Source organism: Homo sapiens, chromosome 1, assembly GCF_000001405.40.
Source record: "Homo sapiens chromosome 1, GRCh38.p14 Primary Assembly".
Taxonomy (NCBI): domain Eukaryota; kingdom Metazoa; phylum Chordata; class Mammalia; order Primates; family Hominidae; genus Homo; species Homo sapiens.
This window is the reverse complement of record NC_000001.11, coordinates 169,214,141-169,230,303: the sequence shown is the minus strand read 5'-3', so window position 1 is coordinate 169,230,303 and position 16,163 is coordinate 169,214,141. Positions and strand designations below refer to the sequence as shown.

The window sequence follows — 16,163 nt, the reverse complement described above, 5'->3', positions numbered from 1 at the left end:
AAATTTGGTATTCACTAGTATACCTTTCAGTTTGCTTTGGGTTTTCTTCCTAAAGCAAACTACTTTTTCTTGGACATTTAACAGTGCATGTATGTATGTGTGTATAGGTGTAGGGGGGTGACAAGTAGAAGTAGCATTAGAACGCTATGATAAAGCTCTATGCAAATATTAGAAACTTGATAGGATTATGGGAAGTATTAATGATTTAAATACTAACCTTAATGTAAATGTACTGTTTCCTGTATTTTACTATTATTTATAAGTAGTTTATTGAAGATGAGCAGCCAATTCAATTTAATTTTATTCAGGGCATTGTTTATTATTTTTAATTTTTTTTTTTTTTAGATGGAGTCTCACTCTGTTGCCCAGTGTAGAGTGCAGCGGTGCAATCTCGGCTCACTGCAACCTCCACCTCCCGGGCTCTAGTGATTCTCCTGCCTCAGCCATCTGAGTAGCTGGGACTACAGGTGTGTGCCACCCCGCCTGGCTAATCTTTTGTATTTTTAGTAGAGACAGGGTTTTATCCTGTTGGCCAGGCTGGTCTTGAACTCCTGACCTCAGGTGATCAGCCTGTCTCGGCCTCCCAAAGTGTTGAGATTACAGGCATGAGCCGCTATGCCCGGCCATTTATTGAACACCCTTAGATGTAAGACAATAAATCCACAGCATCTATTAAGAAATCATCTTGTGTCAAAGTGCTGCTAGATTAAGCCCAGTAGGGGAGAACAACACTCCTGTTGTCAGTGATCTAAAAGTATATACATAAAGATCTTTTAGAACATTTACAGTGCCACATGCAAATAAGGATATTGTTATTTCAGTAAAATCCAAATGTTGGATTGTGTAGCAACAGAGCAGTTAATATGACCTGAAAGTAGTTAAGAAAACTTAAAGGAAGAGAGATATAAGCAGGGGTATGAAAGACAAATTAGGGCACAAAGAGAATGAGAAAAGATCTAAAGCATGTGCAAAAACACCAATGAAGGAATTTGCAAATTTACTGTGGTATACAGCAAGAATATTTTCTTGACTTCAGTGGGAAATACATAGCTGGAAGCACAAGGAAATACATTTTCTTAGATAGAGGAAATATGGTAGAGAATTCTGGTAGAGATGGGTGTGATTTTAGCCTTAGAAGCCAGGATAAAAATTGTAATTCTATTTAATTTGAATCCCATATCATAGGAAATTGGAATTCCTTGTATGCAGCTTAATTTTGACTATACTGAATTGTTACTTTGATGCAACTAGGTCAAACTAAATTGGAAGAGATTAAAGTCAGAGGCTCTAGAAATAGAAAGAGACAGACCTGATGACATCAATAGAGAAAGTCGGCAGGACCTCCTTTATATCTTTTCAGGGAGAAAGAATAGATACTTAAATAACACATGTGGTTGTGATAGAGTAATGATTACAAGGTGACTCTGTTGCAAAGGCCATTGAGAGAAATTGGTAATGATGCTGTTTATTGAAAATTAATTATAATAAATTAGGAAGGGATTGCTTTTTGGCTAGATGAGTAAAGGTAACAGTTTTTGCCATTTTTAACATTTTAAATTTCTGATTTCTGTTTGATGGGCAAGAGGGGTTTTTGTACTTTTTTTTTTTTTTTTTTTTTTTGAGACGGAGTCTCGCTCTGTCGCCCAGGCCGGACTGCGGACTGCAGTGGCGCAATCTCGGCTCACTGCAAGCTCCGCTTCCCGGGTTCACGCCATTCTCCTGCCTCAGCCTCCCGAGTAGCTGGGACTACAGGCGCCCGCCACTGCGCCCGGCTAATTTTTTGTATTTTTAGTAGAGACGGGGTTTCACCTTGTTAGCCAGGATGGTCTCGATCTCCTGACCTCATGATCCACCCGCCTCGGCCTCCCAAAGTGCTGGGATTACAGGCGTGAGCCACCGTGCCCGGCCTGTACTTTTTTTTAAGGTAAGTAAAACTGTGAGTGATCAGCTTGACCTAACAAACAGAAGTAAATTAAAGAGATAAAAACTAAAACAAAAAAGGAAAGAAATAAGATGATTCATTCTTTTGTTCTCTCATTTATTCAATAAATATTTATTGAGCCCATGTCAGTATTTGTGAATATATAGAAGCCCAGGCTGGGCATGGTAGCACACACCTGTAATCCCAGCATTTTGGGAGGATAAGGCAGGAAGATTGCTTGAGGCCAGGAGTTGGAGACCTGCCTTGGCAATATAGTGAGACCCTATTGCTATAAAATTACACGTATATATGTGTGTGTGTGTGTGTGTGTGTGTGTGTGTATACACACATAATTATATATTTTTTTCTATCTTTATTTTTGTTATATATATATATTATGTAATAAAGTTGATATAATATAAGCCTCAAAGATCTTAGCCTGTGAGTAAACAACTGTAAGTGGCTAATTTCCATGCAATATGGCAATTGCATTGTTAGATATTTGCGGGTACTCTAGGAACCCAGAAATATAGCACTTAGCTCAGCCTGGGAATGTGTGACACAGTGGTTTGAATGTGTCCACGAAAAGTTCATGTGTTGGAAACTTAATCCCCATGTGTATATGTTGATGGTATTTGGAAGTGGGGCCTTTGGGAGGTAATAGGATTAGATAAGGTCATCATGGTGAGGCCCACATGGTGAGACTAGTGGCTTTATGAGAAGAGGAAGGGAGACCTGAGCTGACATGCACACTCTTGCCCTATCACCATGTGATATCATGCATCATGTTATGACACAGTAAGGTCTTCACCAAATGCTAGTGCCGTGCTCTCAGACCTTCCAGCCTTCAGAACTTAGTTATTTCTTACAGAAATAACTTTTAAAAAATATTTTCAAATGCTCTCACCCAGCAGAAATACATTTATTTTCTCCATAAATTGCCTAGTCTCAGATATTGTAGCAAAAGAAAATGGACTAAGATATGTGACAAATGTCAGGGGAGACATGGCTTCTGAGCTGAATTGTAAGGAATTAGAACTTATCTTAGTGATGAAGGTGGCAAATGATATGGTTAAAGTTTTGAATGCCTAAAACAACAACACTTTGGGGCTACAGCAAGCTCTTTATTACTGCTGGAACTAATGTTCAGCGCAAGGAATGATAAAGGATGGGGTCATTCGGGAGGAGCTGGGGAGTGAGCAGGTTCACGATCATAGAAAGAAGAGTCTCGAAAAGAAAACAATGCTGATTCCCATTTTTTTTCTAAGTATTTATTCAAGGAACATTTACTGAGTGAATAGTATGTGCAAGGCTCACTCCTGGGTCCTATTGCTGGGGCATAAAAAAGATGACTAGAATACGTTATATTTCCTTAAGGACCTCGTAACCTCATGATAGCTCAATCTTGAAACTCTTTCAGGGCCCTGAATCTTGTCTCATTAAGTATGGATGGCATTACTCTACTGTGTTTTTTTGGTTCATTTTAGTTGTCTATAAGTTCCTCATAGCATTATAGAAAGTTGCACCACAGGGATTTTAAAATTTGGAACTGATTTAACGTGTAAAATGTTAACAGTGGTTATCTTTAGGAGGTGGAAATATGATAATGTTTCAGTTCTGTTTTCCTATATTTTGCAAAATTTCTTTAAAGTACTTATATTACTTTTATAATAACAAAAATACTTTTTATCTTAAAACCTGAAAGTTAATGAACTTTTGAATGAGGAGGCATATACTTCTAAGAACTGATTATCTTGTGTCTCAGACTCCTGAGTTACATTCTGTTTCTAAGTGGAGATCCAGGATGTCAGGCAGGACTGTATGCCTTTGATGGGGGTTTTCAAATCAGAAGAAATACTATAGTAGTTACAATCAAGCTATGTTTTGAGGACAATAAAATGGCTCTTTCCCTTTGGTCTCAGAATTTCAAAATCCATTTGATTCCTTTTCTCCATTCTTTTCTTTCCCCCTTTTCTCTCCACCTCGCCAACAAATGGATATTGAATGCTTACTGCATGCCAGTAACTGCTAGGTGCTACTAAGTTTATATTAATGATCAAACCAATACAGGTTTGTTTTTTGAAGAATGTATGATCTAGCTCTAGGAAGAGATAGAATTGATAATTAAATAGTAATCTCACCTTAAAGTGCAGATGTGCCAGTCTATTCATGTATTATATTATCTTAAAATAATTTAGAAATTCATTTCTTCATTGCCTAGTCACTCCCATATCTAAAGAAAGACCCTTGGTGATGAGATGTGCAAATATAATTAGTGCTTGGAAGATGGCCAGGTACCTAATGGCCATGCAATAAATATTTGATGAACTAATGAATAAACTGGCTATATTATATATATATACCTAACACCTGGTACTAACTTATTATTTAAATATTTTTTCTATCGAAATGGGTCCTGCTTCTTACAAATTATTTTCTAAGATATAGAGCTATTTTATAAAGTGATTCACAAGAAAGTTCAGCCTAACAGTGACCATTAAATCAGTTTGTAACTATATATGTTGCAGATTGACATGATTTCATCATTGATGTCTGTGCTTTTGGCATATTCTTCCCCTTCCAGTTCTTATAGCTGGAAGGAATGCTCATTATGTATTAACAAAATTTTTTTCGGTCTCTCTAGAAGTGGTGTCCAAAGAGGAGAGGGTGCACAAGACAATTCATTAGGGAGGGGGGAAATATTAGACTTGCAATTTCTATTTACTATCTACAAAGTAATAATGAGATTAAGTTTTAATAAAATATAATGTGTGGACTGATAAGACTGCATTTCTATAATTTATTTAAAATATCTGCTTAAAGCCCTGCAGTGGCTCCCTATTACCTTCCATAGGAAGGCTTTCAAAGTCCTCCATGAAACAGCCATTCCTACTTCTAGCCTCATTTCTTGCTGCATTTTGTGCCTTTCCTCTGTCCTCTGCATTTGCACTTTACCCTCCACTAACGTCAAACTGGACCGAGCAGGGTGGTTCCACCTGTTATCCCAGCACTTTGGAAGGCTGAGGTAGGCAGATCACTTGAGGTCAGGAGTTCAAGATCAGCCTGGCCAACATGGCGAAACCCCATCTCTGCTAAAAGCATAAAAATTAGCCAGGCATGGTGGCGGGCACCTGTAATCCTAACTACTCAGGAGGCAGAGGCAGGAGAATTGCTTGAACCCGGGAGGTGGAGGTTGCAGTGAGCTGAGATTGCACCACTGCACTCCAGCTTGGACAAAAAAGTGATACTCTCTCTGTCTAAAGAAAAAAAAATTATATATTATATCACACTATTTATTCTTCCTTAATAAACCAGTGTCTTTCTTCTTTCTTCTGTTTCTATATCCTTCTCTTATTGTCTTATTGACAGAGAAACTTCCTCAGCTATTGAAACTTTGCCCAAGCACCTGAGAATTAAATATTGGTCCCACCACCCTCAGACAGAATGGCTACTTCCTCTTTTGTGGCCTTATTTTACCCTATATATACTATTTTTATATCACCTGTTAAATTTTACTGTACTTATTTATTTACCGTCTGTCTACTTCCTGAAATTGTTCCCCAAGATCATGTTTTATTCATCTTAGTATTTCTAGCATGTAGCAGAGTACCTCGAATGTGGAAAACACTTGATAAATAGTTGATGGTGGAACAAATGAATGGAAGAATACATCTAGAGTCATGTACTGGACAAATGAATAGATTTTTCGAAATAGAATATGGTCCTATTAAAGAAAAAAAGTCCAGGATTTCCCCCAGACTTTTGAATTTGCCTTGTTTTCACCACTCATATTGTAGTATGACATGATATGTAAAATATTACAGATCTGTTAAATATATATGTATAAATGTGTGTATATATGTATATATTCATATATATACATATATGAATATCCAAAATCTATTAAACAGGAAATCTCAGAAGAAGAGAGCATCCACACCTGAAGACAGCTTAGCGTAAGATGAGGAAGGTTCAGACTTGGAAAGACAACCTAGTATGGGGTTTTAGAGCCCAGGTGGGGTAAGCATGGTTTCCCTGTAGAAGGAATGGCCTGGCATAGGGTGCCCGATCTTATGCACAGAGAGGAGGGCCTGTGATCCTGGGGAGCAGCCTGGCATGGGGAGTCAGAACCTGAGTGAGGTGAAGAGAGCATTCACACTTGGAGGCAGCCCAGTGCCAGATGGGCATTGATACAGAAGGGAGATCTGGCCTGGTGTGTCAGAGCCTGATTGGCATGACCAAGGCATCCAGGTGAGAGGCATCGCCTGGGTCAGGATATTGAAGCCTGTGTGAGATGAGAAGAGCATCTTCATGGGGAATAGATGATGACAGATATGGGAGGTTGGTTATATGTGGTAGAATTCATCAAATAACTAGATAAATTAAAGACAATAGGAGCCAGATTTCTCTCAGAGGAGAGATATACAAATACAGAAAATGAGAAAACTGCAATGAACTTTGTGTTCGAATTGAAATTGGAGATATGATATGAAGGCATGGCTTTCAATATACACAGATTAAATGTAGAAATAAAAGATATAAATGTGTGTATGTGTACACACTCAGAAAAATACATCTCTCTCTCTCTCTCTCTCTATATATATATATGCATGTATTCCCATACACATATTCCATAGCAAAGAACATACCTAGTTTCCAGATCTTGACTTCTAAATACCATTCTTCACTCTACGAAATGAAGATCCTCAGAGAAGTGAAATGGCAAATTCCAGAACTAGGGGAAGCAAAATACAATATGATCTTGGAAAATCTTTTTATGCCAAAGTAATGGTGACATATCAATAGGACACAGAAGCCAGCTTGAAGGGGTTCCACTAGTTGAATCGAAACCAATTTGAGCATCTAAGTAAATCATGATAGCAACACGTTATAATCTATTCATTGTTACTAAAATAGGAAACCAAGACTTTAGACAAATAGTAATTAATTAATCAAAATTTTGTTTAAAATGGGATATATATAGTTTCAAAATCCCTTCCCACAAAATATTTATTAATTAAAAAAAAACCCTTAACATTATAGTTAATAATGTTAACATAGGCTGGCAGACAATAAGAAATATTAAAAAAATGTAGTGATAAAAGTGAATATCATAGATTGGAGGAAAATTAAATCATATACCACAAGATAGGATGAAATAAAAAGAATGTAACATTATTTCTGTGATATTCCTGCCAAATATTTATAACTGAATTCAATTATACAGAAATATGACATGCCCATGGCCTCTAATCTTTAGAAATATAAAGGTCACAAAGTTGAATAAAGACTGAGGAACTGTTCAGGACTGAAAAACACTGAAGAGACATGATATCTAAATGCAGCATGTGATTCCAAGTCAGGATACTTTGGCCATAAATGACATTATTGAGATAATTAGTGAAACCTCACCAGGGTCTAAGTATGAAGACTGTATTGTGGTTATATAGGAGGCTGTAGTTGTTGGTAAGAAATATAAACTAAAATATTTGGAGGTAGTGGAGCATCAGATTAGCAACTTATTTTTGAACGATTCATAGCAAAAACAAATTATCTGTAGTCTATTAGTAACTTTTCTATAAATTTACAGTTCTTTCAAAATAAAACTTAAAATGTCAAGTTTTTACAACTCAAAAATAAGTAAATAAATAAAATGTCATTGTCTGTGAAGTCAAGGCCAGCTCCACTGAAAATGTGAAAGAAATAGATTATATTGTTTAGCTCCTTCCTCTCCTCGCCATAGTCCTGAGGTCTCAGCCCGGGGTTCCTCTATTGTCTTAACAGAACAAAGTCTCTAAGCAGGTCTGGTCAATTTGGTCACACTGAGACACAAATTACTATTCAGAATCAATATATTACCATTTCCTTGGGGTTTTTTCCTTTTCCTTTACTTTTTAAACAGATTTCATTATTTTTATTTTAAAAGAAAATTTCAACTTTGGAATTTTAGTTTCCAGGAAGCTAAGAAAAGCTGACTTACAGGACTTCATAGTTGCCCTTCAATCATTCATGCATTCATAAATGTTTGAGTGCCTACTGTGTGCCAGGCAGTATTCTAGGCACCAAGGATACACCAGTGAACAAAACAAATGAGAAAGTGAGAGAGACAGAGAGATAAAATCTCCTCACAGGGCACCAAGCTTACATTCTAGTTGGAGACAGATAATAAACAAATAAAAAATAGAATACATAGTATTTCATATGATGGAAAATGAAGAAAGGAAGCAACCTGAGTTAAGGAAGTGTAGATAGGATTTGATTATAAGTTGGAGTCATCAGAGAAGGGCTCACTAAGAAAGTGATATTTAAGAAAACATTTAGCTAGGGACAGTGGCTCATGCTTGTAATCCCAGCACTTTGGAAGGTTGAGGTGGGAGGATTGTTTGAGGGCAGGAGTTCAAGACTAGCCTGGTCAATATAGCAAGACCCTGTCTCTATTTAAAAACAAACAAACAAACAAAAATAAAACAAACAAACAACAACAACAGACCAGACTGGGCAACAAGGTAAAACCTCATCTCTACAAAAAATACAAAAGTTGCCAGGCATGGTGGCACATGCCTGTAATAGGTTAAGGCTGCAGTGAGCCATGATCGCACCACTGCACTCCAGCCTGACTGACAGAGTGAGACTCTGTCTCAAAAAAATTTGGGTGTGTGCACATGTGTGTTCAAGTTTATGTGTATATAAATATATATAAATATATTTATATATTCTACTGGCACATATACTACCTGGCACACAGTATATAGGTATACAAATATATTTCCATATATTTGTATGCATATAAAGACTTGAATATGTATAAATATATGTAAACATATATACATATAAAGCTCTTGAAAAAGCCAGCCATGCTGATTTCTCAGTGAAGAGCATCCTAGGCAGAAGGAACAGCCAGTGCAAAGGCCTTGGGAGAGGAGCTTGCTTGAGGTAATCTAGAAACACCATGTAATGAGCAAGGTAGAAGATAAGGTCAGAGAGATGAGGGACAGGGCAGATCTCATAGGTCCTCATAATGACTTTAGCTTTTACTCTAACTGGGACCATAAGTTATTGAAGAGTTTGGAGAGAAGAGTGACATAATTTGATTTTAAAAGAATCATTGTTACTAGTGTATTGAGAATAGTCTAAAGACAAGAGTGGAAGTTATAATCCAGGTACAAGATGATGGTGAGTTGGACCAGGATGGTGGTAATAGACATGGTGAGAAATAGTCGGGTGTTATTTACCATGTGTTTACCTTTTTTCTCTTTATCTTAAGTGGATGAGTAGATGAAGGTTAAATTGATGAAATAGAAAAAGGGAAATGGAAGAATCCTTAGTTCTACGGAGTAGAAATGGAATAAAACAGAGTTCTCTCTACTCTATTATGATTTTATCTCACTCTATTGATGAGAAAATGGAAGGTGAATTCATATTCCTGCCTGTCAATTTAGTACATAACAACGCTTAGAGAAGGCATTTATACCTAACCAGAGATAACAGGCATATCCACAGATTAACATGTGCCAAGCATTTCTATTACTAGTTTATAGTAAAAGAAACATTTTTCTTAGGTAATCAACTTAATTTATTTTATAAGCATTTTGTTAACTTTAGCAAATGTAAAAATAATTTAAAAATACATTTTCAGGAAAGTATTAAGTGGTTTAAATGCATTTTAACATAAGAAAATTGAAAGTAATCCAAGTACAGTGAGTATATATAAAAAAAGTTATGTGTTAGTAATTTATTTTCTTTGAAGTGATTTGCATGCAATAACTTGTAATACCTATTAAGTGATTCAGTGATTACAAAATAATCCTGGAGAAAATGATCATGTGTTTAATGAAGAAACATTTGTCTAACCGAGAAAAAGAAAGAAAACCCTCATCTCAATGTCGTATATTAGTTGGATGACCAACACCGTTCCCAATTTGGCCAGGACTGTCACAGGTTTCACACTGAAAGACCAGCATCCTGAGAAATCCCCCAATCCCAGGAAAAGTGGGATGGTTAATCACTCTAAATAATTTACCTTTTAATTGTATACCTCTTAAAATTGAACTGTAATAAAGTTTATTTATATTCACTTATAATTTTTAAATAGATGTTATATTAAGTTATAAAAGCTTAGAAGTACAGTTAAACTACTTCCACCCACATCCACAAAAGGTCAATTAGATTTATTTTTTAATTAACTTTTCATTTGCTTTATAAGTTATCCTTTCATTGGAATTATTTACAGGTAGAGGTATTAAGTACAGGCCCACTTCTCAAAACAACATATGGGTTGAAAGCTAAAGTATAGAGGTTGGGGAAAACATGCGTAACTGAAATGTAAGTCCGTGTTCAAACTCATGATTTGTGAAAATCTTTCATGAAGGAGGCAAACCAAAATGATAAAAAAATGAGGAAAAAGCTGTCTTGGAAGGTCTCCTTAGCCTTCCTTCCATCAAGTTTCTGTAGCTTCTTCATCATATAAGGTATATTGGAACGCATTTCAGAATAGGAGATTTAGAGTAAATATTTATTTATTTCAACTGTCATTATCTATTCATAAATTCAGGCATTTATTAAACACTTGCTATGAACCTGATATCATGTTTATTTATTGGGGATTCAAAGAGGAGTTGAGACCCTTAAGAAGCTCTCAGTATACTGGGAGAATCAGACAAATAAATTGCAATAATGTATTGTAGGCTGGGTACAGTGACACATACCTATAGTCCCAGCTACTTTAGATGCTGAGGTGTAAGGATCACTTGAGCTCAGGAGCTCGAGACTAGCCTGGGCAACACAGTGAGATCCTATCTCAAGTCATAATAATTATAAGATATGATAAAGGTTATCTTAGTGAGAAGTACAGAATGCTCAGGAAATACAGCCATCCTCTGGTATCTTGGGGGCTTGGTTCCAGTACCCCCTCAGACACCAAAATCTGCGCATAGTTAAGTCCCTTATATAAAATGGTATAGTATTTGCGTGGAACCTATTCACATCCAGATTACTATTACTACTTAATACAATGCCTACACATCACTTAATTTGTGTGGATTCAATGTAGTACTTAGCACATGGCAAATTCAAGTTTTGCTTTTTGCAACTTTGTACAATTTTTTTATTTTTCCAAATATTTTTGATCCGTGGTTGGTTGACTTTGCAGATGCATTAACTCATGGATATGGAGGACTGATTTTACTCTGAAGGAACCCAACCCAGTCTGTGTTGAGTGGGGTGGGGCTGAGGCCTAGGGAATAGGCTATTCAGAAAAGGCTTCCCTGAGGAAATGATGCCTGGAGCTATAATTTAAAGAAGGAGTTAAATTTGGCTTGGCAAAGAAGGAAAGTTCCAGAGAAATGAAGAGCTCCTACTTATAGGAAATTAAAGCTCCTCCCATCTGCCTTCAAGTTTCCCTAAGGAAAGTCTGGATCTTCAGCAAGAAGTTTCACCCTTATAGGAGAAAAAGTTGTATTTAAGATCCAGGGCATTTATCTTAAGGATGGAGTTGCATTCAAAAGTGGTATCTCACGTCATCTGAAATCTTAGTCTCTTATTTTTGTGTTTTTTCCTACTTCCAGTGGAATTAATGATAAACACTGAGATTACTTCTAATGGGAATGGGTATTCTCTGCAAAGGATTTTTCCTCTTTCCCAGGGCTACTGTAGATGAAGACTTTTGGCAGGCTGCATTGATTGGCATTGGGCTATATTACTAAAAAAAAAAAAAAAAAAAAAAAATTCAAAATTGGAAAAATTTTTTAAATGCCTTAACAGGAAATACTATTATTTTTTCTTTGCTTTGCTTTGTTTGTTTGTTTTTCTGTTTTTCTGAGACAGGGTTTTGGTCTATCACCCAGGCTGGACTGCAGTGGCAGCCTGAATCTCCCCATCTCAAGCAATCCTCCCATCTCAGCATCCCGAGTAGCTGGGACTATAGGCATGTGCTACATGGCTGGCTAAGTTTTAAAATATTTTGTAGAGAGGAGGTACCACCATGTTGCCCAGGCTGGTCTCCTGAGTTCAAGTGATCCTCCTGCCTCAGTATCCGGTGTGCTAGGATTACAAGCATGAGTCACTGCACCTGGTCCAGTAGTTCTTTTCAAGCAGGAAAAGTTTTGTATAGAGAAATGTAGGCAAAGTCATTTAGGATACAGAGGGAAGTAGGTGAGGCTCTAGGGGAATAAGTTGTACTACGGTAAGAAACTAAAAGTGTAGCTAAACTGTTCTACATAAGAAATAAAAGGGAAAAAAGCAGTTAAGCCACCAGCAGAGGCTGAGCCTGGGGAAAGAGAATTTAGCATCTGGGTGGGTGAAGGAATTTTCAGAACATAATTTCTAAAATTTAAGTCTGAGATATTTGTGTTTCTGGGGCATAAATCCTCTATATCCCAAAACTTAAGGAAATTTAGTACATATTAAAGCTTTGGGTGGTGGTGGTGTGGGTAGAAAAGGGAAGTATAAATGTGTAACACATTTACCACTACTGCTGGTGCCTAGAGGAAGGAGTGGCATCATATTGAAAAGCATAGTGCAGCTTATAGTGCTGCTTTAAGCTGTGGCAGGTGAGGAAGTAAACAGTGAAGCCGCAACCAGCACAAAAAGGCTACACCATGCAATTGATTCAAATGTACGTAACAGTCTTGTTTTCCTAAATATATCAAAGGGGAGAAGGCAATGGGGTAAATACTTTTCCTTTCTTTGACGTTTTTCTTATATGACTTTTTATCCTACTGTTGTGTTAAGTTCTGAGACTAAAGGAATACAATGGAAGGGGGGCTGCAAATAGAACAGATTTTACAATTTGGATAGTTTTCAGTCAGCACTATCCAATACGAATGTAATACAAGCTACATATAATGTAATACATTTGAAATTTTCTAGTAGCCACATCAAAGAGAAACAGATGGCATTAATTTTAACAATATAGTTAATTTAATATATCCAAAATATTTTAAGGATATAATCAATACAAAAATTATTAATGGAATATTTTATAATCTTTTTCCTTTTTTGCACTAAACCTTTGAAGTCTGTCATGCATTTTACACTTGGAGTGCATCCCAATTCTAACTAGCCAAATATCAAATGCTTAATAGCCACATGTGGCTACCATATTGGACAGTGAAAGTCGAGACCATTTCAACAGACATTGCTTAGGAATATAGAAGTCTTCTCCATTATTTGTTATTATTGGAGTGCTATACTTGGGTTTGTTGTCAGAATAAACAATAAAGTATAATATTGCTTAGTTTTGATTTCTTTGCATATATTTCTCTCTGGTTTATTATTTTCAACTTTATTGACAAAATTGACAAATATAACTATAAAAATTTAAGGTGTACAAATGATGATTTGATATACATATATTGTGAAATGGTTATCACAGTCAAGTTATTTAGTACATCCATCACCTCACAGTTACAACTTTTGTGTATGTGGTGAGGACATTGAAGAGCTACTCTCTACAAAAACAAAAACAAAAAAAATCTGTTATTCTTCTGCTTTTATATCACAACAGTCAACAGAAAAGACCTCTGTGACTTTTGGTCACCAAGAAGTGTGTGGGGATTTTTCCCTACCAACAACCAATCAATTCTGTAGCGGATTCTTCAACAGACACTAGCTAGTTGCCCTCTAATTCAATTCAATTCTTACATTATCTACCTAGAGATCCCATAGGTTGAGGGTTCAATTCCACAAGACTGCCCCCACTTCCTGTGCTAATTGCAATTCCCAGATTGTTTTGCTTGTGCTTTTACTGACTTGCTATAAATAAATTGGAGTTTCCACAACCCCCACTTTGAGTTTGATTAATTTGCTAGAGCAACTCACAGAACTAAGGGAAACACGTTTACTGCTTTATTATAAAGGATATTACAAAGGATATAAAGATGCAAAGGAAATGTATAAGAAGGGGTGTGGAGTTTCCATGCTGTCTCTGGGTGCACCACCCTTTAGGGACTTTCATTTGCTCAGCTATCTGGAAGCTCTCTGAACCCTGTCCTTTTGTATTTTTATGAAAGTCTCATTTCATAGTCATGGTTGGTTAAATTATTGGCCACTGATGATTGGCTTTAACCTTCAGCTTCTCTTCCCTCCCGAAAAGTTAGGAAGTAGAGCTGAAAGTCCCTTCTGATCATACATTGATCTTTCTGGTGAACAGCTCTCATTCTGAAGCTACCTGGGTGGTGTCAGCCATCAGTAAACTCATTAGCATACAAAAAGGTACTTATCACTTTGAAGATTCCAAAGATTCTAGGAGTTGTATCCCAGGACTAAGACCAAATGTGTTTAGACAAAGATCAAATGTATATTTCACAATATCACAACTCTTTTAGCAAATTTCAGGTACAGTATGTATGCTCTACTTTAGATTCCCAGAAGTTAGAACTTTTTTATCTTATACCTGAAAGTTTATACCCTTGACCATCATCTCTCCATTTCTTCCATCTGCCAAGCCCTGGCAACTACTATTCTACTCTCAATTTCTATGAATTTGACTTGTTTAGATTGCACACATAGGTGAGATCATTTAGTACTTGTCTTTCTCTGACTTATTTCACTTAGCATAGTGTCCTCCATGTTCATATTGTCACAAATGGCAGGATTTCCTTCTTTTTATGATTTAATAATATTCTCTTGTATATGTATACCACATTTTCTTTAACCATTCATCACTTATCCATTCATCTGCCTTAGCCTACCTTTAAAACTAACTGTTTTCTGGCTTCCCAGGTGGGCCTTGCTTTCTAAAGCTCAAATAAGATGCTAAGCTAGTATTTAGCAACCTTGAAAAAATGAGTCACCTCTCCTTTTTTTTTTGTTTCATTTTGACATTAGTACCTGTCACTTCTCTTTACAACAAAATAAATAATAATAGAGGTAGGAGGCAGAGAAACTCTAGGCAGACAGGGGTGAGTCCCTGGTGAAGCCTCACCTTCAAGCCAAAAAACCTGAAACCCGTGGCCCAAAGTGAGAACTTCTATCCCTATTTGCCTGGTCTTTCCTGATTGGTTCTTTCTGAATAATGTCTTTTTACAAATTGAATGTTGCCTTTTTCAAAACTACCTATGGCTTACCCTGCCCCCCATCCTGTGCCTATAAAGACCCCAGACTCAGCCAGTAGAGGGGAGAAGCAGCTGGATATCTAGAAGAGGTGAGTTGACTTCAGAGATGATGGCTGGATGTCAGAAGGAGGCAGCTTGACTTCAAGGAGAGAGGGAGAGAGGCAACCTGACTTCAGGGGAGAGATCTGCCCTTCCCTTCCCCTCCAGCTCCCCTTTCCACTGAGAGCTACTTTCATTGCTCAGTGAAATTATCCGCATTCACCATCCTTCAATTCATTTGTGTGACTTCATTCTTCTTGGGCACCAGACAAGAATTCGGGGCCCACCAAGTGTGAATACCCAAAAAGGCTGTCACACTGGCCCTTTGCCCTCACTGGCGGAGGGCAGCTGCCCCACATAAGGCAAAGGGCCCACTGAGCTGGTAACACACTGCTGTCCACAGGTGGTGGAGCTAAGAGAGCATTGTAACACACCCTCTGGGGTCTTGGCATTGCAGGCACCCCCACTTGGATGCTGCCACAGGGCCTGCATGGAGTTTGCTTCTGCCGGTGCCAAAGTGGCCAGCTGGTTCCTGCATTTGCTCACCTACGCATGCCCTCCCACAAGGCATTGAGCATGGCAGGCTGAGTAAATGGGGCACCGCTGTCATGGGTCTCATGAAGGGATCAAGAAAATATCCTGCATTATCAATACCTTTGTTTCTTGACATGGTCCTGGAGAAAGTTACAAAGCCTTTTTCTTTTCTCTTTCCTCTCTTTTTAAATAAAGTTATCCTAAGAAGCAAATTATACCAGATGTTTAGTGTCTTCTAGTCAGAAAATGTTTGATGTTCTTATGAGAATTTAACAATAACTTGGACCTATTATCATTTTTTGAAATGGCAAAAATTCAAACAAAAGCCTTCATGGTTTTGAAATCAATAAAGGAACTCAGGGGACTCAGAAGAGCCACACGGGTTCTATAGTCATGTTTCAAACAAGGCTGTTCCCTTCTTTTCTTCAGCAGGCTCAGAGAGCAGGTTAGGAAAGGAAAGACCAGTCTTTTCAAAGGGGCTAACAATGGAGATCAATATTGAGACTTTTTTCTTGGATGTCTACTCATCTAATTTTAATCCATGATATAAGCTCCCTTTCCAAACCACTTGCTTCTAACATGTCTTCCTACGTTTTATCTTGAAGAGCACTTTCTCA

At 37.3% G+C, this 16,163-nt stretch overlaps 1 protein-coding gene across 3 annotated transcripts in view, besides 1 other annotated feature; it reads left to right on the top strand.

The window, feature by feature from the left end:
• NME7 (NME/NM23 family member 7) overlaps window positions 1-16,163 on the top strand; it is a 235,267-nt gene that overhangs the window by 137,494 nt on the left and 81,610 nt on the right. The gene's annotated exons all lie outside the window — the stretch shown is intronic.
• Window positions 13,819-14,387: an enhancer, noted in NCBI's record as "NANOG hESC enhancer chr1:169185155-169185723 (GRCh37/hg19 assembly coordinates)". NCBI's record gives its function as "activates a minimal SCP1, AML or CMV promoter by ChIP-STARR-seq in primed H9 embryonic stem cells {active_cell/tissue: H9 hESC(primed)}" and the evidence as "EXISTENCE:reporter gene assay evidence [ECO:0000049][PMID:30033119]".